Consider the following 26,428-nt stretch of genomic DNA (forward strand, 5'->3'; position numbering starts at 1 on the left):
CAAACTCATATTGATTCAGTTGTTGGGAAACTTTTAAGGGTATTTGGATCAATTTGGGTATGTAAATCCACTTTTCTGACTGTACATTTTATGCAATCTAATTCCAGATCAAGTATTTCCAATGAAAATTTGGCATGCGAATTGAGAGGGGCTGCAAATATAAAATACTCAACAGATTTCAAAGACTTCATGCAAAAAAAAGGAATGTAAACTATTTCATCGATATTTTTTATGTTGATTATTAACTACAGGATAAAATGGTAGCTTTTGCATCTGCTGGGTTAATAAAATGCATTGTTAAAATTAATTTCACCCATTTATTTGTACTTTTTAAATGTGGCCACTGGAAAATTTAAAATGATGTATGTGGCTTGCAGCATATTTCTGTTGGATGGCGCTACTGTAACCCCCTTCTCCATCTACACAGGCTTTGGAGCCAGAAGGATCTGAACTCTAGCTCAGTCTGTACCACACAATAGCTGTGTGATTCTGGGTAAGTGGCTCAATCTCTGTGGGCCTCAGTTGTTTATTTTTTGATCTGTAAAATGGGTATGGTAAGAATACCCTTGAAATGCCTGCCTAGCAAACTAGCACAGCCACCGGGTACCTGCATGAAATCAACCAAGCCTGCTCCCACTTTCTCCCCAGCCATGTCCTTATCCTTTTTTTTTTTTTTTTTTTTTTTTTTTTTTGAGATGGAGTCTTACTCTTTTGCCCAGGCTGGAGTGCAGTGGCATGGTTTTGGTTCACTGCAACCTCTGCCTCCTGGGTTCAAGTGATTTTCCTGCCTCAGCTTCCTGGGTAGCTGGCATTACAAGCATGCACCACCATGCCCGGCTAATTTTTGTATTTTTAGTAGAGATGGAGTTTCACCATGTTGGCCAGGCTGGTCTCGAACCCCTGACCTCAGATGATCTACCCACCTCGGCCTCCCAAAGTGCTGGGATTATAGGTGTGAGCCACTGCACCCGGCCGTCCTTACCCATTTGTCAAGACTCATCTGAAATATCATCTTCTTTGGGAAGCCCTTTCCTAACCCCAGCAGAAGGGTCTAATGCTTTGCCTTTATCTCTCCTGTAAACTTTCACACATGGCTTGCATTAAAATGACATCATTACAATATTGTGGGTTCCTCAAAGGCAGAGACCCCAGCTTCCTCGTGTGTGAGAATGTGCTTTTAACTTTTAGTATACGGGAAATTTCAAACATATGGAAAAGTTGAGCTTCCACGACGATAGTATTTCAATCATTGTATTTTTCTTGCTTAACTCAGTGCTTGATACATGATTTTGTTAGTGTTTGTGGTGGATGGCAACAGCCACAGATTCTACCACCGTGGAGTGGTGAAGTCAATTTCCCCAACCCCTTTGGTCTGGGCTGGCCCTGTGGGCTGGTTTGACTGACAGAACATGGTGCAAGGGACTATGCAAGGTCTGAGTCTCCGTCTAGGCCTCAAGATGCCAGGCAGCTTCTGCTCTTGCTCTCTCAGAACCCGACTGCCATATGCATAAGCCTGGGCCAGCCTGCTGGGGGATGAGAGACCACGTGGAGCAGAGGCAGGCAGTCCCAGTTCACAGACCACCAGAGAGATGAGTGAGGCTGTCCTCCACCTTCCAAACCCAGAAGAGCCACCAGCTGACTGCAGAGGTTAGGTAAACTGGCCCAGACACAGCAACCACTAAACCAACCCCCAGAATCATGAGAAATAATAAATATTGTTGTTTTAAGTCTCTATATTTTGAGGGGAGTTTAACGTGTGGCAAACAGCTACCCAATACAGGGTTTAATGAATGTTTTTGAATGCACTGATGAAGTCTCTGGATTTAGCAGGGGTTGCCACTCTGGCACACTCAGGGTAGCATATATAGTCTGGTGGCAGCTGCTGTGCCTCCCGGGCTGGGAAACTGTCACACATTCTTCACCCCCAGCAGGCTGCCTGTCAACCACAGGAGCACGTCACAAGGAAAAGAGTCTGTAGCACCAACACCCCATTTGTAAAGTTTTCTGAACTTTATTCTGCTCAATGCATATATTTTGAGCAGATAAAATGTGCTAGGCACTGGTCTAAAAGATTAAGAAGTCTTGCTGCAAATCTATTCCCAAGGTTTTAATCTCATTTATTTTCAGAGCAGCAGAAGCTTTGGCTATGGCAGTCACAGTGAGAGAACAGGACAGAACCTCATCACCGAGACAATTCATGTTCTCAGATGACCCGTAATGTGGATGGCTCTAAGTCTCCCTCCTAGAATGCATGTACAGCGAGGGGTGTTTTGCTGAGTTCTAGAACAAGAAATCTCTTTTCAGTAGAAGCCAGTCTAATTGTCTAATTTGGGTCAACCCTTTCTCCTAAGTACACACGTCATCATAGTGGAGGAATTTGGGTTCTTTAGATAATGGTTTTAAAATGCACTACCCTGTTGAAACTGTCCTTGGTACTTTTCAATGCCACTTATCCTTTCTCATTTAATGAGGACCTTTCAGCACTGATGACTCCAGTTGGATGTAAGGGAACAGCCGTGACAGCTGTCCCTGATACTGACCTGCCAGGCAGCTGGCGTTCCGTTCGGGGTTGTCTCTGGCCTTGGCTTTGCTTTTGCGTCTTATGGAGCGATTGAAGATGGAATTTCTCTTAATTGGGATGTGGCAATGAGGCTCTTTGTCTTGGATATCCTGGTCAGCTTGAGAAGTCTCCTCTTTTTCTGGGAGTAACTCAGGTTTCACCTTGGCTGGTTCATTATCAGTGTTCCATTGATCACTTGCTGATTTCCTCCGGGTCTTTTCCAAATCTTCAGATTCCCTGGTCTCCATGGAAATAGAGCCAGATGTTTCTCAGCAGAACGACTGGAGGTCAATGACTTTCCCAAGCTTCACTGGTTTGAGTGCTTTAGAATAGATAGAAAACAATTTTCAGTTAGTCATCAGGCTAAGTATTCTATTCAGACTGTGGAACTCCACTCCCATTCGAATTTGATGAAACGTGGGATAATCTGCACATCCTGGTATCCACGTCTTCGCCACTGAAAATTACAGCTTAATCTCTGCAATTTGGAGGCATTCACGTATCATTTTATAATTGCCGTTTGTTTACATTATTCCTAAGAGGCACTTTTAGGGGGAAATGTTTAAAGTGGCTTGCAAAACTACATTCAAATAAATACTTCTTAAATAATTCCAGAGAAAAAGGGTGGCAGAAATAGTGAGGGAATTCCAGGAAAGCATTGAGAGGGACCGTAAATGTCTAGACAGGAAAAGAAAGTCTCAGAAGATGAGAAAGGGTTGTGGGCTGGTGCAAGGTCTCACAATGGTAAGTTTAGACATGGGCAAGGTTGATCCCCAAGGCGACAAACCTTGCCATCAGCTGGCAACCAAGTCTAGTGGGTGCATTAGTGGCCTTTCTGATGGAATGATGTATGGCCGTGGTGGAAGAATAAGGTCCCCCCATCCCATGGCCACCCCACCATGGGCTGGAGAAACAGAATGGTTACCTCCCTCTGGGGTGACCATATAGCATATCATCTGAACGAGGACACTTTTCATAGGAAAAGGGGGATACAACAGGAACAAACCCCACCTCCCTCCCCACAAAGACCTCCTAGGGTAGGGGTGCTCAGGGCGAGAGACTATGTGGACCCTCTTAGTGGGTCTAAGCTGGTGGGACAGCGTGTTAGACAGAGAGGCCGAGCTAGGAATTCTTCTCAGCTCTCCACTCATCTGAGGGCTTGAAACCTGGGGTCACATGGATTCTATGGAGGTTTTCAGGGTACAAGGCTGTGTATGAGCATATACATTTTTCTGGCCTATCGGTCCAGAGATTCCATCATACCTTCAAAATGGTCAGAGACTTGGCCAGGCACCGGCCTATAATCCTAGCACTTTGGGAGGCCGAGGCGAGCAGATCACCTGAGGCCAGGAGTTCAAGATCAGCCTGGCCAACATGGAGAAACCCTGTCTCTACTAAAAATATAAAAATTAGCTGGGTTTGGTGGCACATGCCTGTAGTCCCAGCTTCTCGGGAGGCTGAGGCAGGAGAATCGCTTGAATCTGGGAGGTGGAGGTTGCCATAAGCAGAGATCTTGCCACTGCACTCCAGCCTGGGCAACAGAGCCAGACTCCATCTCAAAAAAACCCTTCCAGTCCTCTTCTGTTGCTCCCTTCCACAAACATCCAGCTCAACCAGTGTTCTACGATTCATCAGGAGTGTTTGTCTGTGTCTTCCTTTGTGAAATGGGGAGCATGGAGGGCTGGGTTTCAGATGCCTCCTTTCCCACCGCACCACTCCTCTTCCTCCACAGTCCCTCTGAGTTCCCAAACACCTTCTTCTACACCCACCAGCCAGCCCCACACTACTGATCTCAGGGCAGGTGGTCTGGCAGAATAGTCAGGAGGTTGGGTTTCCCCTACCCCAGGCCGAGAATGCCTTCGTTTACCTAAGATAGGAATTAGGACTTTCTGGGTAGGGGGATTTGAAGACTGAAGGCCACTCTGGTTCCTAGAACCAGCTACTTCCGACACAGGTTTGTATCAGAAGGTTTGCCCTAGGATGGCACCTCCTTCCCACCTGCTTGCAGGGCTGATCCTGTTCTATTAACCACCTTCCCTGTAAATTGTCAGCCAGGCAGAAATGAGCATTAACGTACTCAGAGGTTGCCTCAGAGCAGCTGGGCCACGTGCAGGGGCACAACCTGAGCTCATGGGGACCTGGGGAGTGCCTTCCCCACCACGGTCGTCTGGGGGACCCAGCAATACCTGACCCTTCTGGTCCCGGCCTCAGTTTCCTGATCCATGAAGTTGGAGTGTGCACTATGGGGTCGGTGAAGCCCCTTCCAACTAGAAAGCAACGCTGCTATTTCAGGTGGCCAGAGAGGATTGTGCGGTGGCTGGGAGGACACACTTAGGATGGACCATTAATACGCACCCTTCCCGGGAGTGCCTGGGAGGAAGATGCTTGTCTTATGTGTGGCAAAGAACCCACAGCTCCAGCGAGATGGGGTGATTTTCATTCACAGCAAGTTTAACCTGGGTCACTGAGGGGATGAGGTTGCAATAAGAGCGAAACCGTTCTTGAGCCAGCAAGAGGACAGAGAGAGAGAGAGGCTTCCAACCTGGCCAGATGAACGGGGACCCCTGCACTTGCTCCACTTGGGAACCTGATCCACCAGAAAAGTGGCTGCAAGGACGGGCAGAGACTCGGGAGGGACGAGGTCACCATTGTCACCCATCTGACCTCTGGGAGCCTGGGGGCAGAATGAGACCCAGAGACAATGATGGCCTTGAGCTCAGTGTAAGGCGGAGACCATGAGTGTCCGAGCTCCCCAGAGATGGGGGTGCTGCTTTGGGGGCTGACGTCCCTGTCACTGGAGCTGTCCAGATGGAGGCTGGAGGCGCTGTTGAGGTTTTAGAGTTCAGTGAGGCCTGCCTGCCGCTGGCATTGCCTTCTCTCTTCTTTCCCCGGCCCCTGTGCCTACCACCTCACCCAAACCCTTGCATTGAGGCTGCTTTCAGTGAAGAGCTGGACCTGTGGACAGTGATAGGCAGGGGTCCCGTGGGGTGGGAGTGGGGGTGGATGATGTAGGCATTCATTGTGTTTTGGTGCCAGTCTGTGGAGGCCTCTGACTGCTGGACCGAGGAGCTCACCCAGCAAACCCTGCTGGTGGCCAGAGGGCCTGGCAGGCCCCGAGCAGGAGGCACAGGCGGGGTGGTGGGGGACATAGAGCACGTCCTGAGGGGGATGGCACACAGGTGAGTACCTGGACAGGTCAGAGCTGCAGGGAGGAATGGGAGGAATTGCAGGTCAGTGACTTGTGGTGGTTTTGAGAGCAGCGGACAAGGGAGCTGGCCCCCTGTTTGTTGTGGGCCTGGGTGCCTGGCGGAATGCCACTCCTGGTCTGGGAAGCAGGAGTGAAGCCAGGTTGGGGTCAGAGCACACTGGTTTTGCGGTGTTGGGTTGAGGAATCTCCCAGGAGAAAAGTTTGTGGACAGAAATCCCTAACCGACACTGGACTGAGTTGCTAACAGGCATCTTCCGGCTCTGACAAGGGGACCCCCGGGGCCTCTGTGTTGTGATCCTAACATGAACTTTTTTTTTTTTTGGCTTTCAAGGTTATTATTACTATCAGTATCGTCATTATTTTAGGCTGTATCTTAAAAACTTGAGGGGCTGGGCATGGTGGCTCACGTCTGTAATCCCAGCACAGGCTGAGGGGGGGGATCATTTGAGGTCAGGAGTTCAAGACCAGCCTGGCCAACATGGTGAAAACCAGTCTCTACTAAAAGAAAAAAAATATTAGCTGGGCGTGGTGGTGGGCGCCTGTAATCCCAGCTACTCCGGATGCTGAGGCAGGAGAATCGCTTGAAACGGGAAGGCATAGGTTGCAGTGAGCCGAGATTGCGCCACTGCATTCCAGCCTGGGCGACAGAGCGAGACTCCATCTCAAAAACAAGACAAAACGAAACAAAAATAACTTGCGGTATAATTTACTCTTTTTATTAGTTTTGACAAACACATTCAGTGCATGTAACCACCACCACCACCAAGATACAGAACAGCTCCCTCAACAGGGAAAAGTCCCCTTGTGCCTGCGGAGGTCAGTAACTGCCCCGCCCCCAGCCCCGGCAACCACCAATTAGAGTCTTGGTTTGCCCTTTTCTGTTGTGTAGGTGGAGCTGGCAGTCTGTCGCCCTTGCTGGAGAGCAGTGGTGCAGTAGAGGCTCATCCGTGGCTCACTGCAGCCTCGACCTCATGGGCTCAAGCCATCTTCCCACCTCAGCCCCTTGAATAGCTGGGAGCACAGGCGCCCGCCTAATACTTGTATTTTTTGTAGGGATGGGTTTTGCCATGCTGCCCAGGCTGGGTGTCTGGCTTCTGTAGCCTATTGTGCTGTGTTCGCTGCTCTGTCGACGTTGCCTGTGTCAGTGCTGATCACCAGCATTTACTGTGCGGTGCCAGGGATGCAACGACGCCCACACCATATACCACCAAGGGCACTGGGCCAGGAGTCAGGGGACCTGGGTTCGAATCTCCATTTCCAGCTGCTTGTAATCACAGGCTTAACATCAGGCAAGTCAGGGCCTCAGTTTCCTGTCCAGAAAACATGGGGTGGGTGGGTATTCTTGACTTCTAGCTCTCAAATTTGGTGATCCAGGGAGGCTCAGAGGGTCCTTAGAGGGATGTTCATGGTACATTAAGAGTCAGGGGGATTGTCCTCCCTGAAATGAGGAGGCTCTGAAACCCTGAGAAGAAGTATTCCCAGATCTTACCACCTTTGAGATGATTTTACACACACACACACACACACACACACACACACACACACAGGAAGAGATTGTAAAACTATCTGTAAAACTATTCTAATTCTGCTGCAATTATAGACTATTTTAAGCAAATGTGCTCTGCGTCTGGAATCTTTTTATAATTGCTTTGATTCGTCTATAACGATTAACTGCCAGAAAACCCAGAAGCTTCCCCCACCCCAATCTTCTGATGTTCCCTTAAGTTCCTCTGTGGCTTTAGACCCATGTCTTTCTATTCCATGGTAACTTCAGGGTGGGGGAGCCTGGGGATAGCTTTGTGATTGAGGGAGGGTGCAGCTCATGGTGCACTTGCATTCATTCATTCATTCACACCCCCTGAGCACCTGCTGGCATGGGACTCACGTCTTCATTCTATGTCTGTCCACATTCCCTCCTTAATAAGCTTCCTCAGGACAGGACTTGGTCTGTTTGGGTCTCTGTTGTTCCTGATGCCGGCCACACAACAACACTCTGTAAACATCTTTTTTTTTTTTTTACAGCAATAGATGAACGGATGAGTTACCTTAGCCAAGCCTCGCAACTTCCGCATGAGTCAATGTGATAATTACTCCACTTTATAGATGAGGCAGCTGCCACTCTCAGAGCTGTGATAATCTGGCCAAGGTCGCATGGCTGGCAAATGGTGCGGCAGGGGTCACACTACAGCTATCTGACTCATTTGTTGGGGGGACCTGTGATGTGGTCAAAAGATGCTGTTGTAACTGTGGGCTGAAGTCAGGCCTGGAAGGATCAGAGCCAGGAGGGGGCTCTATTTGGCTGTCTCTGTGTTAGTTGTGCAGCTTCAGGCCCAGGAGCTGAGGTGGCTGTTACACCTCCCAGCACTGGGCTGCATGAATCAGTGTGTGAATCAGTGTCCTGGGAGGTCAGGACACAAGGGGACAAGGAGGTGGGGAGTTGTGGGGAGCTGGCTGCAGGCTCAGCTGTAGCAATCACCAGCTACTGCAGGGGAGGAAGGCACAGGGCATGTGGGGAGGAGCAAGGTGGGTGTGGAGAGGTGAAGTTTCTAGACTGGATCTCATCCAAGTGCAGACATCATCCGGGGCTCTCGTTAAATCACAGATTCTGACTCAGGAGGTCCTGGGTGGGGGCTGAGACTGCATTTCTTTTTTCTTTTCTTTTTTTTTTGACAGAGTCTTGCTCTGTCGCCTAGGCTGGCGTGCAGTGGCGCGATCTCAGCTCACTGCAACCTCTGCCTCCTGGGTTCAAATGATTCTTCTGCCTCAGTTTCCCAAGTAGCTGGGATTATAGGTGCCTATCACCGTGCCTGGCTACGTTTTTCTTTTTAAATAGAGGCAGGGTTTCACCATGTTGGCCAAGCTGGTCTCAAACTCCTGACCTCAAGTGATCCACCCACCTCAGCCTCCCAGAGTGTTGGGATTACAGGCATGAGTCAGACAGCTCGCAGAGCATTCTCATTTGCTAGTCCCTAGAGCCCCCTCAGGCAAAGTCCTAGGGGAACACCGCCACCAGGGCATCCTCAGCAGGTGCATGAGGGAGAAGCTGCCTGGGCGAGAGCAGCGGCCCTTGCTTTGGCCAGGTCTAGGGCACATGGAGTGCCTGCGCAGGTCAGAGGCAAGCAGGAGTCCTGATCTGGAGAAGGACTGGCACCAGTAGGGAAGGGGCAGCTGGAGCCCTGCCATCTCTCGCTATCGTCTTCTGCCTCTCAACTAGGGGAATGGAGGGGTAAGGGTAGGAGAAGGTGGAAAACAAGAGAAAGGAGGATGTCTCCTCCCCAGGGCCGAGGGCCTCCCAAGCACCTGGAATTGCCTTTGCAAAAAGTATAACTGAGGAAATTGTGACAGTGAAAGAAATCAGACCTAACCAACTCCACCTTGCTTCTAACCTTTAAGCTGTCCTTGTTCATTCCTGGGCATAGGCCAAACTATAGGAAGGAATTCAGTTCACGGTTTGACTCTGAAACAAAATTGCTAATAGCCCTTTCCCGAAAAGACCCCTTTCTTGCCTGGGGACCAGTCTGCCTTTGCAGGACTAACAAATTAGCTACACGAGTAGAAATTACGGTTTAGGGGTCCTGCAGCCTCTGACTCCAAGAGTCTGACCCTCCCCACGTTGCTCCTGGGGATAACATCACTATTGTAAAACCTAAGATCAGCGCTTGAGATGTTTTGCAGGCCCTGCACTGGATGGATCAGCTGACACCACCCAGACCGTGGTAATCTGGCTCAACCAGTTCTGCCACCCCACCCAGGAACAGAAGACAGCAAGCAAACCTCACTTCAATCCCTATGATTCCATCTCCAACCTGATCAATCAGTACTCCCCACTTCCCGAGACCCTACCTGCCAAATTATCCTTAAAAACTCCAATCCCCGAATGCTTGGGGAGACTGATTTGAGTAATAATAAAACTCCCATCTCCCGCACAGCTGGCTCTGCGTGAATTACTATTTCTCCATTGCAATTCCCCTGTCTTAATAAATTGGCTCTGTCTAGGCAGTAGGCAAGGTGAACCCACTGGGTGTTTATACACCTGCTCGGGAACAGGCCCCTCTAGGTGCTGGGGACAGCTCAGTGAGACAGGCCTGGCCTCCTTGGAGCTCGCAGGGGCCACCAGAGGGAAAAAAGGACTACAAGGGAGAGGGAAGTGGCAGAGCCCATTGCAGGGGAGGTACTGGTGAGGAGCAGGTCACAGGGGAGGCCACAGCCCTGGGTGACTGGGACTGGGGGAGCTTCACTGGTCCTTGGAGCTGGGACCTTGGATTTCAGCTTCAGCCCAGCAGGAGGCATGGGCAGCCCCATGCCTGGAGCACAAGGGCAGCTGCTGCCCAGCAGGTGACACTGAAACATCATCAATCTCTCCAAGGAGGGGACACAGGGCATCCGTGGAGATTGTGGGGTGTGTTAGGGTCCAGGTGGGGCAGGTGGCCAGGAAGTGTGGCCTGAGACAGGGGGACAGCATGGTGGCACCTTTCCTGTGACAAGAAGGGCTTGAACCTACCATCAAGGGGGCAGGAAGATGGGGCTTATTGAGGCAAAAGGTGCCCCCAGCACCCCTAAGAGAGGGACTGGCTGATCCCAGATCACCTACATCATTTCCACATTCCTTCCTGGTCCTTGAATTGGTACGTTAGCCTCTTCCCAGGTAGGAAGCACAGGTTTGTCTTGGGCCTTTTTTTTGAGACAGAATTTTGCTCTTGTCACCCAAGCTGGAGTGCAGTGGCACGATCTCAGCTAACTGCAACCTCCACCTCCCGGGTTCAAGCGATTCTCCTGCCTCTGCCACCTGCATAGCTGGGATTATAGGTGCCCGCTACCACATCTGGCTAATTTTTGTATTTTTAGTAGAGACAGTGTTTCACCATGTTAGTCAGGCTGGTCTCGAACTCCTGACCTCAGGTGATCCGCCCGCCTCAGCCTCCCAAAGTGCTGGGATTACAGGCTTGAGCCACTGCGCCCGGCAGCCTTGGGCCTTTTTTCTCCCTGGATCAAAGTGGGGAGAGTGAGACAGGAGGATTTAGACAGAGGAAGGAGACACAGATGAAGTTTCTGGCTTGGCAGAAAAGTCCCTGCAAGGGAAGGAGCTGGGACAGTGGCCCCAGAAGACGCTCTGTGTCCGAGGAAGACCTGCATGGCATGGATCTCTAATGGAACCCTTGACAGTTGTGGAAAAGGTGGAGAAGCCAATCAATCACACAGGGAGACAGCTGTCACCCTGCCCTGGGGATGGCTGCCCACTGGGGCATTTTGGTGTTCTGAGCGTGAACAAAGGTGAGGGCGAGAGAAAGATCCTGGAAAAATCTTAAGTGGAAATTCAGAAATTGGGGAGCCAGCAGTGGGGAGGGGCAGTAACAGGAAAGGGGCTGGAGAAGGGAAACTTGGAGCAAGGCCGGGAAGCCTAGAAAGTTCTGTACCTGGGGGTGGGGGGAGCCCCTACTACGCCGTGGCCACTTGGGGGCGTCGGCTTCGGGAGGTAGAGAGGAGGGTCCCCGAGCGGTGAGGGAAGGAGGAGGGGACCTTTTAGGACCAAGACCAGGGCAGAAGGCAGAAAGCAGCAGTTTGGTGCCTGAGGGGTGAATGGAGACCCTCCTGAGGATGGAAATACCTGAAGCAGGTCGGGGTGGGGGTGCAGGGTTAGCTGAGAGGTCAGGGGTGCCTATCTGAGCAGAGGCCTGCAGGAGGGAAGCCAGGGAGCCTTGGCTCAAGAAGGAGAAAAGTAAGGATGGCCCCTGGCTTTCCTTAAGGCTGCAGAACTCATTAACACGCTAGGAGAGGAAGCAAGAATGTGCGGGGGAAGCCAGTCTGAGCTCAGAGGGAGAGAAGTTGGACTTGGAAATGGCCCACTGTGCCCCGGTCTCGGTCTCGTGTAGGGTTGGGACTAACCTGGAAGGTTAAGTATGAATTACAGGAACAACTCATTGAATACCAGTTTAACAATCGTAATTTCTAATACAAACAACATCTCTTTTAGAGACGAGAATGCTGAAACCCGGTGAGATTAAGGAACGTTCTTAAGCCCACGTGGCTGCCACAGTCCAGCTGGGCCCCGAGTCCGGGCCTCTCCACCCCAGGGCTACCTCTTCTCACTCCTTGCTGCTCAGTTTTACATCCTCCAGGCTGGAATGTTCATGCAAAAGTGGGAAGTGGATTAGAAACTCTGACAAACATCATGTGCAAGAGAAGTGGTATGTCAAATGTGAAGAGCATGCGCTTTCCTGATGCTGGGACAGAAATCACTGAAATTAATTTTTTCAGACAAGGTCTCACTCTGTCACCCAGGCTGGAGTGCAGTAGCTCCATCATTGCTCACTGCAGCCTTGAATTCCTAGACTCGAGCAATCCTCCTTCCTCAGCCTCCCCAGTAGCGAGGACTACAGGCACATACCACCATGCCTGGTTAATTTTCAATTTTTTTTTTTTTTGTAGGGGTGGATGTCTTGTTATGTTACCAGGCTGGTCTGGAACTCCTGGCCTTAAGCAATCATCCTTCCTCAGCCTCCCAAAGTGCTGGAATTACTGGTGTAAACCATTATGCCCAGCCTGAAATTAACTTTAAACCTAGGAAGAAGAGAGTGGCATAGAGTTTGAGACAATTTGTTTTTTACAGGATGGAAGTCCGATGCCAGAGAGTTGTAGGTTATGGATTTGTATCTATAACCTGTGATGTGAAGACAGCCTTCCAGGGAAGGGGCAGAGCCAGAGGGGAAAGAACAAGCTAGACATTCCGGCCAGCAAAAAAGGCCAATGACAGCGTGATGGAGAAGAGGAACCGTGAGCTGCATGAACTGCAGCAAGCGAAGCACAAATGAGCCATCGGTGTGGGTGATGGAGGAAGGAGAAGCCGGGAGGACTCTGGGGAAGAAGCCTGCAGGCTTGGCAGGCATTAGGCAGGGCAGGGAAATTTCAGACAATGGAACTTCTAAAAAGTTAAACGTTTTATTTTATATTTACAAAAAAGCTGCGGATGATGGAATTCTAAAGCCAGCTCTTCAAGGAACCAAAGGGCTCGGAGCGTAAGATTGAGAAGTTAATGATTTGGAGATCTGCCTATCTGCACATAGTGGGTTCTCAGTGTAAGAGGTTGAATGAACGAAAAGCAGGCAAATTAGGAAATGAAATAAGGAATTGAGAGTGGACGGGGAGATTGGGGACAGCTCTCAGGATCCCCCAGCCATCTCTCCAGCCACAGTGCCATTTGCTGAAGGGGAGGGGCTTTCTGGGGTCACAGAGCTTCAACAGCCAGGACTAGAATCTTCCCCCATCACCTGATACCTGGCCGTGTTCTCCTTCCCTTTCTCCTTCTGCCATGTATAGGGAGTTCTGGAATTTGTTTTATATTGTCGGAAGACCTGAGCAAACTGTTAGATGAGATAACAGCTTGAGTTAATCCCAGTTCCCAACTTCCCATTAAAATCCCAATGCAATCATACCACAGGAAGATGCTACCTCTGCACTAGAAGGCAACATTAAGAATTCAGTTTATGGGCTGGGTGCCATGGTTCACACCTGTAATCTCAGCCCTTTGGGAGGCCGAGGCGGGCAGATCACCTGAGGTCAGGAGTTCAAGACCAGCCTGGCCAAAAAGGCAAAACCCCATCTCTACTAAAAATACAAAAATTAGGCCAGGCGCAGTGGCTCACACCTGTAATTCCAGCACTTTGGGAGGCTGAGGCGGGCGGATCACGAGGTCAGCAGATCGAGACCATCCTGGCTAACATGGTGAAACCCTGTCTCTAATAAAAATACAAAAAAATTAGCTGGGCTTGGCGGCGGGTACCTGTAGTCCCAGCTACTCGAGAGGCTAAGGCCGGAGAATGGCGTGAACCCAGGAGGTGGAGCTTGCAGTGAGCAGAGATTGTGTCACTGCACTCCAGCCTAGGCGACAGAGACACTCTGTCCGTCTCAAAACAAAAACAAAAACAAAACAAAAACCCAAAAATTAGCCAGGTGTGGTGGCGGGCACCTGTAATTCCAGCTACTTGGGAGGCTGAGGCAGGAGAATCACTTGAATCTGGGAAGCAGAGGTTGCAGTGAGCCCAGATCACGCCATTGCCCCCCAGCCTGGGCAACAAGAGTGAGACTCCGTCCAAAAAAAAAAAAGAAAAAAGAAAAAAAAAGAATTCAGTTTATGGCAGGACCAGCAGGCTCTTCCACTAAATATGCTAATAAAAAGTAAAATGTTGAAGCATTGCTGAAGATTGACTTTTGCTTTAAAATTCTTAAAAAAAGAAGACATACAAATGGAAAACAGATACATGAAAAAATGCTCAAGATCACTGATCAATAGAAAAAGACAAAACAATGAGATACCATCTCACACCTGTCAGCATGGCAGTTATAAGAAAGATAAGACAGAGCAAGTGTTGGTGAACGAAGATGTGGGAAAAGGGCACCCTTGTGTGCTGGTGGTAGGAACGTAAATTGGAACAGCTATTATGGAAAACAGTATGGAGGTTCCTCAAGAGGTTAAAAATAGAACTACCATGTGACCCAGCAACCCCACTTCTGGAAATAAATCCAAAGGAAATAAAATGAGCATCTTGAAGAGATATCTACACAACCATGTTCATTATTCATGATAGCCAAGATGTGGAATCAACCCATATGTCCATCTACAGATAAATGGATAAAGAAATTGTGGTACATATATGTGGTGGAATATCATTCAGCCATAAAAAAGGAGAAAATCCTGCCATTTGCAACAGCATGGATGAGCTTGGTTGAGCTTTCTGTATATGGTTAAGTGAAATAAACCACACACAGAAGGAAAAATACTGCATGATCTTATATGTGGAATCTAAAAAGTCAAACTCTTAGAAGCAGAGAGTAAAGCAATGTTTGCCAAGGGCTGGGGGTCCTTGGCAAAGGGGAGATGTGGGTCAAAGGGTAAAACCTTTCAATTATAAGATGAACAAGTTCTGGGGATCTAACATATAGCACAGGTGGTGATGGATGTGTTAATTTGACTGTGATAATCACTACACGATGTATATATCTATCACATCATCACATTGTATACCTTGAACATATTCCACATTTGTCAATTAAATATCTTTAAAAATTATATACACAGTTTATAAGTCAAAAGACAAAATTAGAGGGGAAACATATACAGCAGGAAGCATAAATCAAGTGTTGGAGGCATTGTAAGACACAGAGCAGGACTCTTTCTTTCTTTTTTTTTGAGACAGAGTCTCACTCTGTTGCCCAGGCTGGAGTGCAGTGGCATGACCTCGGCTCACTGCAATGTCTGCCTACCAGGTTCAAGTGATTTTCCTGCCTCAGCCTCCCAAGTAGCTGGGATTACAGGCACGTGCCGCCACGCCTGGCTAATTTTTTATATTTTTGGTAGAGATGAGGTTTCACCATGTTGTCCAGGTTGGTCTTGAACTCCTGACCTCAAGTGATCCACCTGCCTCAGCCTCCCAAAGTGCTGAGATTACAGGCATTAGACACCGTGCCTGGCCAGAGCAGGACTTTTTTGATGTTCTGGAATTGCTGCTAAGGCCAAACAAATTTCTGCTGTAGCTTGGGTCTGCTGGCAACCTGAGGGATCGGTGAGGGAGGTGTGCCTCCTATGGTAGTCCCCACTCTCAGATAAAAGAAGAGGAAGAAGAAGGGAGGAGCTTGGCCCTCTGGGGGTGCTGTAGCCCATGCAAAGAGGAAGCTGGCTCCAAAGAAGCCCTGGAAAGGCCCAGGGCTCCCTGCAGGAAGGAGAGGCTCCCAGATGGAAGCTCATAGGGCTGTGGAACCCATGGGCCCATTCCAGAGTCTCCTGGGAAAGGGTTCTGAGAGCCTAGGGTTATGGTGCTGAGATATGGGAATACGCTGCCCATGGGAATGGAGCTGGCTTTGAGCTGGGGGATTTCTGAAGGTAGGGACCTGCTGGAAGACTTTGTTCCATGGGGCTCAAAGGGATTGTGGCCTGTGTGTCCTTGAAGAAAATGAACCCCCTCAGCCTTATCTTTGTTCTCCATGGCCTTTGGAGCAGCCCTTTACAAGAAGACCCTAGAGTTCCCTGAGGGTCCTTGGAACCCAAATGTCAGCAAGTGGTAGGGGTTGGGGACTGCCCACATGGCCACTGGGCCAAGCAATAGGAGACCCAAGCTGGAGAAGGGATTGCAAGCAGGCATGTGCCCCCAGGGCCAGAGGGAGATGTGGTCACCCTTCTGGAAGGGATGGTCTCGTGTGTGTGTGTGTGTGTGTGTGTGTGTGTGTGTGTGTGTGTGTGTGAGTGACAATCTCAAAGACCCCAGAGGGATGCCTCCTACCGCTGTGCGCAGCTGGTGGAGTAGAGGTGCCTTAGCTGGCTGATCCCTGCTCCCTCCCCCACCACTGGGGGAGGAGGGGAGGTGGGGAGAGTGGCTCCAGGCCAGCTCCTTGCCACTCCCCAAACTGTCTGCAAGAAGAGCTTTGAACACTATGAGATTGAACTTTGGAAAATTGTAACGTGGCTGAAATGTGCAAAGGCTATAAACAGCACACAGAAAGTTGATACAAATCACCCTTAAAATCTTGTGAAAGGATTTTCAACCCTGTGCCTCTTAAGAGGAAAGAAAATTCAAACCACACTGAGATGTCTTTTTTCACTTGCTATATTGGCAAAAACTCAAAAGTTTGAAGAGTGATTGGTGCAGCCAAGGGCAGCAGGCAGCCGCCATCCCTGCTGGTGGGAGTTTACATGGATTCCAGCCCTACGGGACAGTTTGGCAATGCCTATCAAAATAAAATAGCAAATACGCTTTGACCCAGCCATCTCCGCTGCAGGAATTTGGCCACTGGATCTGCCTGCACTGTAGGGAGTGTCCTGGGTGCAGGTGACTCACTCCAGCATCATCCTGGAGCCAGTGACTCATGGCAGCATTGTTCAAGGGCAAGCAATTGGAAGCAACCGGGGTGTCTTTTGATCAGAAACTGGCCCCACAGATGAGAAAATTCTAAACATTTTCACAAATGGGAGATGATGCAGTTGTAAAAGCAAAAAAGAGGAAGTTCCATGTACAGTACTGATCAGGAAAGGATGCTGGGAAAAATCCAGAAAAAAAGCAAGAATAGAAGAGTATATTTTGTATGTTTCTATCAGCATAAAGAGAGAAATGTATTCAAATTTATTCAAATCTGCCTAAAAACTTCTGGAAGGAGTTACAAGAAATTAGTATCAAAATTATTATCAATGGTTACACACACACAAACACACATATATCTGAAATAAGGTTAAATTAGATGAGGGAGCCTGGATAGTTGGGGAGTAGGGCTGGGAGGAAGAATTTAAGGTATGTACCTTTTAATACATTTTTGGTTCTTAAAGCTATGTCGGCCAGGTGCGGTGGCTCATGTCTGTAATCCCAGCACTTTGGGAGCCCGAGGTGGGTGGATCACTTGAGGTCAGGAGTTCAAGACCAACCTGGCCAACATGGTGAAACCCTGTCTCTACTAAAAATACAAAAATTAGCCAGGCATGGTGGTGCACACCTGTAATCCCAGCTACTCAGGAGGCTGAGGCAGGAGAATTGCTTGAACCCGGGAGGCAGAGTTGCAGTGAGCTGAGATCGTGCCACTGCACTCTAGCCTGAGCAACAGAGTGAGACTCTGCCTCAAAACAAAACAAACAAACAAACAAACAAAACTATGCCAGAGTATTATGTATTCAAAAATTAAATATGTCTTTTGAGAAAAAATGACTAGCACAGAACCTTAAATACAGAAATGAGTCTATTCTAAAAACTAAAGGAGACAGGGAAGTTATGGGATCTGGACAACAAACCTCCAAGACCCCTGCTATGCAGCAGAGAAATGAGTCTAGACAGAGAGAAGTTAGAGGCCATGATGGGGAAAAGTAAAGCTGTTTTATATGTATACTTTCAAAAACTGTGGTTTCCCAAAGAATTAGGTATGGAATAAGGATGAACAGTTAAATGAGATGTTTTAATTTCTTTATCAAAGTGTTTTCAGAGTGATTTAACTTAAAAAAATTGAGGCAATTTCATAATCATTAGAAAGTCTTAATACAATATAGCACATTTGTAGGTCAGTTGACAAAGTTAAATACCAATCCCCAGCAAAAAGCTTTAAAGATGAGACTAGAAGGAAAATTCACCATGGTAAAGAAGAGACTGTGTACATTTAAACATGGTAATGGTGAAAAATCAGAGATGCTCCCAATAAGAGTATGGTTCTTGCTGTCATCATTATTAACATGTTTCCAGAAGTTTTGATCAGCATAATGAGACATAAAACAAATAAGTTATCAGGAAGAAAGCTAAAGTAATCATAATTTGTAGGTGACATGACTTGTATACCTAGAAAACTCCAAAGAACCAACTGAAACTCCCAGAATTACAAGTAATTCAGCCTAGGTCCTGAATAAGATAGACTCACTGTATGTCAACAAAAACAAGTTAGAAAGTGGAGAGATTCTAACTATAGTATTATAGTAACAAAGCCAGAAAACTCAGGATAATTGTATTAATAAATACAAACAACCTATATAAAGGAACAACTTGAGAGATGAAAGGAAGCTTGCATATTTAGAGAAGCATGAGTTTTTCTTGGATGGGAAAATGGAATATTAAAAATATATCAGTTAATATTTAATACAAGTTAATATTTATAGTTTTAGTGCCATTCCAATGAAAAAACTGATCAGACTGTTTTGACAAAATGATTATGAAATTCATCTGCAGGATAAACAGCCAAAATTAGCTCAAACTTTTTGAGCAATATAGATAATAAAGAGAGCCTTCTTCTCCCAAATATCATTAAATGTTACAATAATAAAAGGAATGTGGTATTGGTACAAAGTAGTTGATCAGTGAAACAGAATGGCCAGCCCAAAAATAAATTCTTATCTCTAAAAATGTTATTTTATAGAAGAGGCCTCACAAACATAAAAAATGGAAGGGCTACTAAACCAGATAAAAGTCACAAGAAACGAAAATTATAGTCCAACATCTCTTATTAATAGAGAAGAAAATGTCCTCAACAAAATACTACCAAACTGAACCCAGCAATATATGAAAAGAATTATATACTATGACCAAGTAGAATTTATCCCAGGAATGCAAGATTGGTTTAACATGCAAAAATCAATTAGTGTAATATACCATACGAATGAAACAAGGGACAAAAACATGATCATCTTATTAGGCATATGACATCAAATAGTATTTGACAAAATTCAACAACCCTTCATAATAAAAACATTCAACAAACCAGGTATAGAAGAAAATTTTCTCAAACCTGATGAAGGGCATCTATGAAAACTACACAGCAAATGCCATATTTAATTGTGAAAGACTGCATACTTTCTCTTAAGATCAGGAAGAAGATAAGAATGCCCACTCTCACCACTACTGTTCAAAATTATAATGGAGGTTATAAGACCCTTAGCCAAGAGAAAAAAATGTCATTCAGATTGGAAAGGAAGACATAAAATGATCTCTATTTGCAGATAACATAATCTTGTATATAGAAAATTCTAAGGAATCCAGTAAAAAAAAACAAAAAACCCCAGAAAACTATTGGAACTAATAAACAAGTTCAGCAAAGTTTCAGAATACAAGATCAATATACACAAATTAATTGTATTTTTGTATAGCAGGAAGGAATAAACCATAAATTAAAATTTAAAAAAACCAATACACAATATCATCAAAAAGAATAAAGTACTTAGGAATACATTTAACAAAAGAAGGGCAACATTTAGATGCTGAAACTACAAAATATTATTGAAAAAAATTAAAGAAGACCTAAATAAGTAGAAAGATATCCTATTTTCATGGATCAGAAAAATTAATATTGTTAAGATGGCAATACTCTCCAAATTGATCTCCATATTCAACACGACTTGATTAAAATCCCAGGTGGCTTGTTTGCAGAACTTGATAAGCTGATCATAAAATTAATCTGGGAATTCAAGAGACTCATGCCAAAACAATCAAAGAACAGAGTTGGACTCACACTTCCTGATTTAAAAACCTACTACAAAGCAACAGTAATCAAGACAGTGTGGTACTGGCACAGGATAGGCATTTAGGTCAAGAGAATAGAATTGGGTATCCATAAATAAACTCATACATCTATGGTCAAATGAGTTTTGACAGGTGGTAAGACCATTCAATGAGAAAAGGATAGTTGCCTTCAACAAATAGTGCTGGGACAACTGGGTAGACACAGGCCAAAGAATGAATTTGGATTCCTACCTCACATCATATACAAAGATTAACTCAAAATAAATAAAAAACCTAGTTGTAAGGGGTAAAACCATAAAACTCTTAGAAGAAAACTAAATCTTCTTGACATTGGCATAGGTAATGGTTTCCTACATATGACACCAGCTGCACAAGCAACAAAAGAAAATAAATTGGACGTCATCAAAATTTAAAACTTTTATGCTTCCAAGTGCACCACCAAGAAAATTCTTGGCTGGGCATGGTGGTAGCTCATGCCTGTAATCTCAGCACTTTGGGGGGCCGAGGCTGATGTATCACTTGAAGTCAGGAGTTCAAGACTAGCCTGGTCGACATGGTGAAACGCCGTCTCCACTGCAAATACAAAAATTAGCTAAGCGTGGTGGTGCACACCTGTAATACCAGCTACTTGGGAGACTGAAGTGGGAGGATCACTCAAGCCTGGGAGACAGAGGTTACAGTGACCTGAGATTGTGCCACTGCACTCCAGCCTGGATGAGACTGTCCGAAACAAAACAAAATTTAAAAAAAAGAAGAAGAAAAGAAAATTCTCACAGAATAGGAGAAAATATTTGCAAATCATACACCTGATAAGAATCTTGTACCTAGAGTATATAAAGAACTCATACAACTCAATAATAAAAAATAACCCAATTAAAATACGGGGCTGGGAACAGTGGCTCACATCTGTAATCCCAGCACTTTGGGAGGCTGAGGCAGGAGGATCACTTGAGCCCAGGACTTTGAGACTAGCCTGGGCAACATGGCAAAACCCCCTCTCTACAAAAAATACAAAAATTAGCTGGATGTGGTGGCACACACCTGTAGTTGCAGCTATTCAGGAGGCTGAGGTGGGAGGATGGCTTCAACCCAGGAGGCAGAGGTTGCGGTGAGCCCAGATTATGCTATTGCACTCCAGCCTGGGTGATAGAGCGAGACCCTGCCTGAAGTATATATATATATATACACACACACACACACGCACATAAATATATAAATATATATATTCAAAAATATACATATATATGTGTGTATCTATACGGGCAAATATATATATAAATAAATAAATATATATATATAAATAAATATATATTTATTTATATATATATGGGCAAATATATATATATTATATATATAAATAAATATATATATTTATTTATATATATATTTGCCCGTATAGATACACACATATATATGTATATTTTCAGATCCTTTGCCCATATATATGAATTGGCATGTCTCCAAAAGACATACAAATGGCCAATAAATACATGAAAAGATGCTCAACATCATTAGCCATCAGAAATGCAAATAAAAGCCACAATGAGATATCACTTTGCACTCACTAGGGTGGCTGTTAAAAGAAAGATGGATGATAATAAGTGCTGATGAGGATGTGGGGAAATTGGAATCCTCATGCACTGCAGATGGGAATGTAAAATGGTTGGGGCACTTTGGAAAATTGTCTGATAGTTTCTCAAAAGATCAAACATAGAGTTACCATATGACTCAACAATTCTCTTCCTAAGCCTGTTCCCAAGAGACATGAAAACATACATCCACACACAAAGATGTACACACGTGTTTATAGCAGCATGAGTCATAACTGGCAAAAAGTGAAAACACCAAGAACGTCTGTCAGCCGATGAATGGGTAATTAAAAGGTGATCTATCCTTACAGTGAAAGATTATTAAGCTATAGAAGAAATTGTTCATACACGCTACAACATGAAGGAGGCTTGAAGACATTTTGCTAAGTGAAAGAAGCCAGTCAGGGAGGACCACATATTGTATGATTGCATTTATATGAAACGTCCAGAACCGGAGACTCCACAGAGACTGAAAGCAGATGAATGGTTGCCCAGGACTGGGTGGGTTGTGGGAGACGCAGAGTGAGTGACTGCAAATGGGGATGGGATTTCTTTTGGGAAGGTGAGAAAATGTTCTAAAATGGCACAGTTTTGTGAATATACTAAAAACATTGAGTTGTACACCATAAATGGGTAAACTGTGTGAAATGTAAATTTATCCCAATAAAATTGATATTAGGCTGGGTCCGGTGGCTCATGCCTGTAATCCCAGCACTTTGGGAGGCCGAATTGGGTGGATCACTTGAGGTACGGAGTTCAAGACCAGACTGGCCAACATGGTGAAACCCCATCTCTACTAAAAATACAAAAAGTAGCTGGGCGTGGTAGTGGCTGCCTGTAATCTCAGCTACTCAGGGGGCTGAGACAGGAGAATCACTTGAACCCGGGAGGCGGAGGTTGCAGTGAGCCGAGTTTGCACCACCCCACTTCAGCCTGGGTAACGGAGCGAGACTTTGTCTCAAAAAAAAAAAAAAAAAAAGATATTAAAAAAATAGAGGGATATCAATAGAAGTTTTGAACACTGGTTAACAGTTGGGGAAAAATGTCAACTTAAGCCTTCATAATAAATTTCCTAAGTAAACTCCAAAGGAATTAAAGCATTAAATATTTTCTTCAAATCACAGAATATTTTGAGAAAGAATTTGGTGGTTCCCACAGCTTGCCATATGACACCGGGGAAGCTGTGGGTGTTGGGAGCGGGGAGTGGAGCCAGCCAGGCATGGCTTGTCATCCCCGTTCGGCCCTTCGCTGGCTGAATGCATTGGGCATGTGGGTTCCCCTTGGGGCCTCCTGTTGCTCCAATGTCTTGCAGGGAGGACAAATGTTATCCAACTCCTGGGACTGATGTGAGGTTGCACACTGCTGGCACTCAGTATGTGGGAGCTGCTTTATTTATGCATTATTATACAAATTAACATAGAAGATACTATTCCATCCACAAATATAATACATACACATATACATATATGGATATATACATGCATATAATACATACATACACATGTATTATATACATACATGGATATATACACACATATAATACATACATATGTATTATATGTACATATACATATATGTATAACTACACATATATGTATAATACATATATGTATACTGTATATATGTACAGTATGTATACTGTATATATGTACAGTATGTATACTGTATATGTGTACAGTATGTATATGTGTACAGTATGTATATGTGTACAGTATGTATATATGTACAGTATGTATATATGTACAGTATGTATACTGTATATGTGTACAGTATGTATGCTGTGTACAGTATGTATACTGTATATGTGTACAGTATGTATGCTGTGTACAGTATGTATACTGTATATGTGTACAGTATGTATGCTGTGTACAGTATGTATACTGTATATGTGTACAGTATGTATACTGTATATGTGTACAGTATGTATACTATATACAGTATGTATACTGTATACTGTATATATATACACAGTATGTATACTGTATACTGTATATATATACACAGTATGTATACTGTATACTGTATATATATACACAGTATGTATACTGACAGTATACATACTGTATATATACACAGTATGTATACTGACAGTATACATACTGTATATATATACAGTATGTATACATATACAGTATGTATACTATATACAGTATGTATACTGTATATATATATACAGTATGTATACTGTATATATATACAGTATGTATACGTATGTATACTGTATATATGTATTATAGTGTATATATGTATTATAGTGTATATATGTATTATATATATTATAGTGTATGTATTATATGTGTATATACATATAATATATTATACATATACATATGCACAATATGTATATGTATTATATGTATTCATATACATATATGTATATGTATAATATATGTATACATATAATACACATGCATATTGTGTATATGTATATGTATAATATATTGTATGTATATACACATATAATACATACACTATAATACATATATGGATATGTGTATATATCACTTATCCAACACAGCATAAATCCAAAAGAGGACAAAAGAAAGAATAAAAGGGTGTGAGCGTAAAACTGAATGGGGGATAAGGTTAAGAAATTTGTATTACAAAGACTCTAGTGTGGATGGGCTCAAACTTCCCTAAGCTTCCTGGCAGTCAACATGAAAAGGAGAAATGTGTCAGTGACTCATTCTACTCCATTCAGGTATAAAAACTGACCAATTCCAGCCTGGCCAACGTGGCAAAACCCCATCTTTACTAAAAATACAAAAATTAGCCGGGTGTGGTAGCACACATCTGTAATTCCAGCTACTCGGGAGGCTGAGGCACGAGAATCGCTTGAACCCAGGAGGCAGAGGTTGCAATGAGCTGAGATTGTGCCGCTGCACTCCAGCCTGGGTGACAGAGTGAGGCTTTGTCTCAAGACAACAACAACAACAACACAAACAACAACAACAACAGCAACCGACCAATTGCTGGGAAATGTGTTAGTGCTAAGGCTGCAGGGATTTCTACCGAGGGCTGTTATGAGAGAGGCCGCTGAGCGCAGTGATTCTCACATGTTTAAGAGCTTGTTAAATATAGTCTTCCCTTGGTATCCGTGGGGGGATTGGTTCCAGGACCCCCATAGATACTGAAATCCATGAATGTCCAAGTCCCTTTGTAAAATAGTGTAGCATTTGCATATAACCTACAAAGTATAACTTGATGGTTTCACACAAAAAGACAGCCAAGCGCACCACCACGCCTGGCTCATTTTTGTGTTTTTAGTAGAGGCGGGGTTTCACCATATTGGCCAGGCTGGGCTCGAACTCCTAACCTCAGGTGATCTGTCTGCCTCAGCCTCCCAAAGTGCTGGGATTACAGGTGTGAGCCACAGCGCCTGGCATCGTTTACCCTTTCTTATGGTTAAAAGATTTTTTTAAAATTTTAGCAGGATACATAAAGAGCCCATGTTAAGTGTACAGATTGCTGGATGTTTACAGACTCAACCCAGATGCAGAAGGAGAACTTTATTGCCACTTCAGAAAGTGTCCTAACGCCCACTCGAAGTCACTGCTCCCTGCCCCCAAGGGTGACCTCTGACTTCTAACAGTTTATGGAACTAGAATCATTCTGAACGTTCTCTCTTGTGCCTGGCGTCCTTCCTCAGTGCACCCTCATAGTTGAGCACTGGGTCCTTGTAGGTGGTTTGCTCTCAGTGCCGTGTGGCAGTGGTTCTCACTCCGGCACTGGCCTGGGGATCACCAGGAGGGTTCATGCACAGATTGCTGGGCCCAGAGCTTCTGATTCAGGAAGTCTCACCCGGGCCCTGGGAACCTGCTTTTCTAACACATTCTCAGATGCTGCTGCTGGGGCTGAGACTGGGGTACACACCGTGAGAATTCTCTTTTCTCTGGAAAAGGAGCCTGCCCTTGTCGTTGTTGTTGCTTTTAGGAATCGCTAAGGGGCAGCACGCCTCACAGGGGTTGGAGGGACAGGGTGGTGTGGAGACCAGGGCGGGGTCCTGAGGTGACACAGGCCTCTGCAGTGAAACTGTCAAAGTGAAGTGAAGCTGGCATCCAAGCCAGAACCCCCGGGCACCTTTGGGAATATGCACCCTCCTTGGGCCTACAGTGGAGATTTCTAGAACACAGAAATATCCACCGTAGATTTCTGCTCACGGCACCAGTCGACTCCCTATTCTCCCTCAGAAAGGGCTCTGGCGAAGCATCCCACATTCTCCCTCTTCTCTCTGATGCCTGCCATCCCCTAGGGCTTCAGGCAAGGCTCTGGCGACCTGGCCTCCCCACTGCTTCCAGCCACCCTGCTGCTGTTCGTGCCCTCTGCTCTCCAGGGCCCACCCTCTGTCCTTTTCCTCTGTTGGAATCTCTCCTGCTCGGGGGTGTTAGCTGATGGCTCTGTTTAGATGGCTGCACCTTCCCTGTGCTCTGTATGTTGAATAGCCCACGCCTCTGCCTGGCGTCACCGAGCGTTACCAGCAGGTCCACCCACAGGTGGCCGTGGGTGATCCTGGCAAGCTTCGCTACAAGTCCTCAGCCATATTTGGGAAACGTGCCCCGATAGGACAGGGGGTGGCTTCTGCCACCTGCAGCCCCTCTCTGCCCCATGGTTTCTGAGCAGGAGGTCACAGGGCCGAGAAGAGCAGCAGGGACCCAGGCCAGAAGGTGGTGGTGGAGACAAACCCTCCTGGAGAGGAACTGCCCTGGGCAGCGATGCTCTTCCCCCTCTTCCCAGAGGAAACCGCAGTGGGAGTTTCAGCGCTGAGATAGGCCCTTTCCATTGAGCTCATTTGATCTTCACAACAACCCCAGGGGATGGGGTGGGAGTAGGGTGGCTACTATTGAATCTGAGGCTCAGAGACACTCAGTAAATTGTCCAGGATCACACAGCTGGTAAGTGGCTGAGGTGGGATTCAAACCAGGCTCTTCCAGGTCCCAGAAGAAAGGTATGGCTGGTATCAGCACAGGGGAGGTGGAGAGACTGCCTGCGAGGTGGAGCATGGCGCATGTGCTTAGGAAGCATGGCTGCCCCAGTCAAAGAGCAAAGACCAGGGACAGCGCAGCCAGAGACAGAGCCAGAGGCCAGGACAAGGCAAGCCTGG

At 45.9% G+C, this 26,428-nt stretch overlaps 1 protein-coding gene across 2 annotated transcripts in view; it reads right to left on the minus strand.

Moving 5' to 3' along the window:
• NGEF (neuronal guanine nucleotide exchange factor) overlaps positions 1-26,428 on the minus strand; it is a 134,556-nt gene that overhangs the window by 93,382 nt on the left and 14,746 nt on the right. For both annotated transcript variants that reach the window (NM_019850.3, XM_011510923.4), the window contains exon 2: positions 2,541-2,882. In NM_019850.3, coding sequence (NP_062824.2) covers positions 2,541-2,808 — 268 coding nt within the window. In that variant the 5' untranslated portion in view covers positions 2,809-2,882. The remainder of the gene's footprint in view (positions 1-2,540; positions 2,883-26,428) is intronic.

This window comes from Homo sapiens, chromosome 2 (assembly GCF_000001405.40).
Source record: "Homo sapiens chromosome 2, GRCh38.p14 Primary Assembly".
NCBI classification, from domain to species: Eukaryota; Metazoa; Chordata; class Mammalia; order Primates; family Hominidae; genus Homo; species Homo sapiens.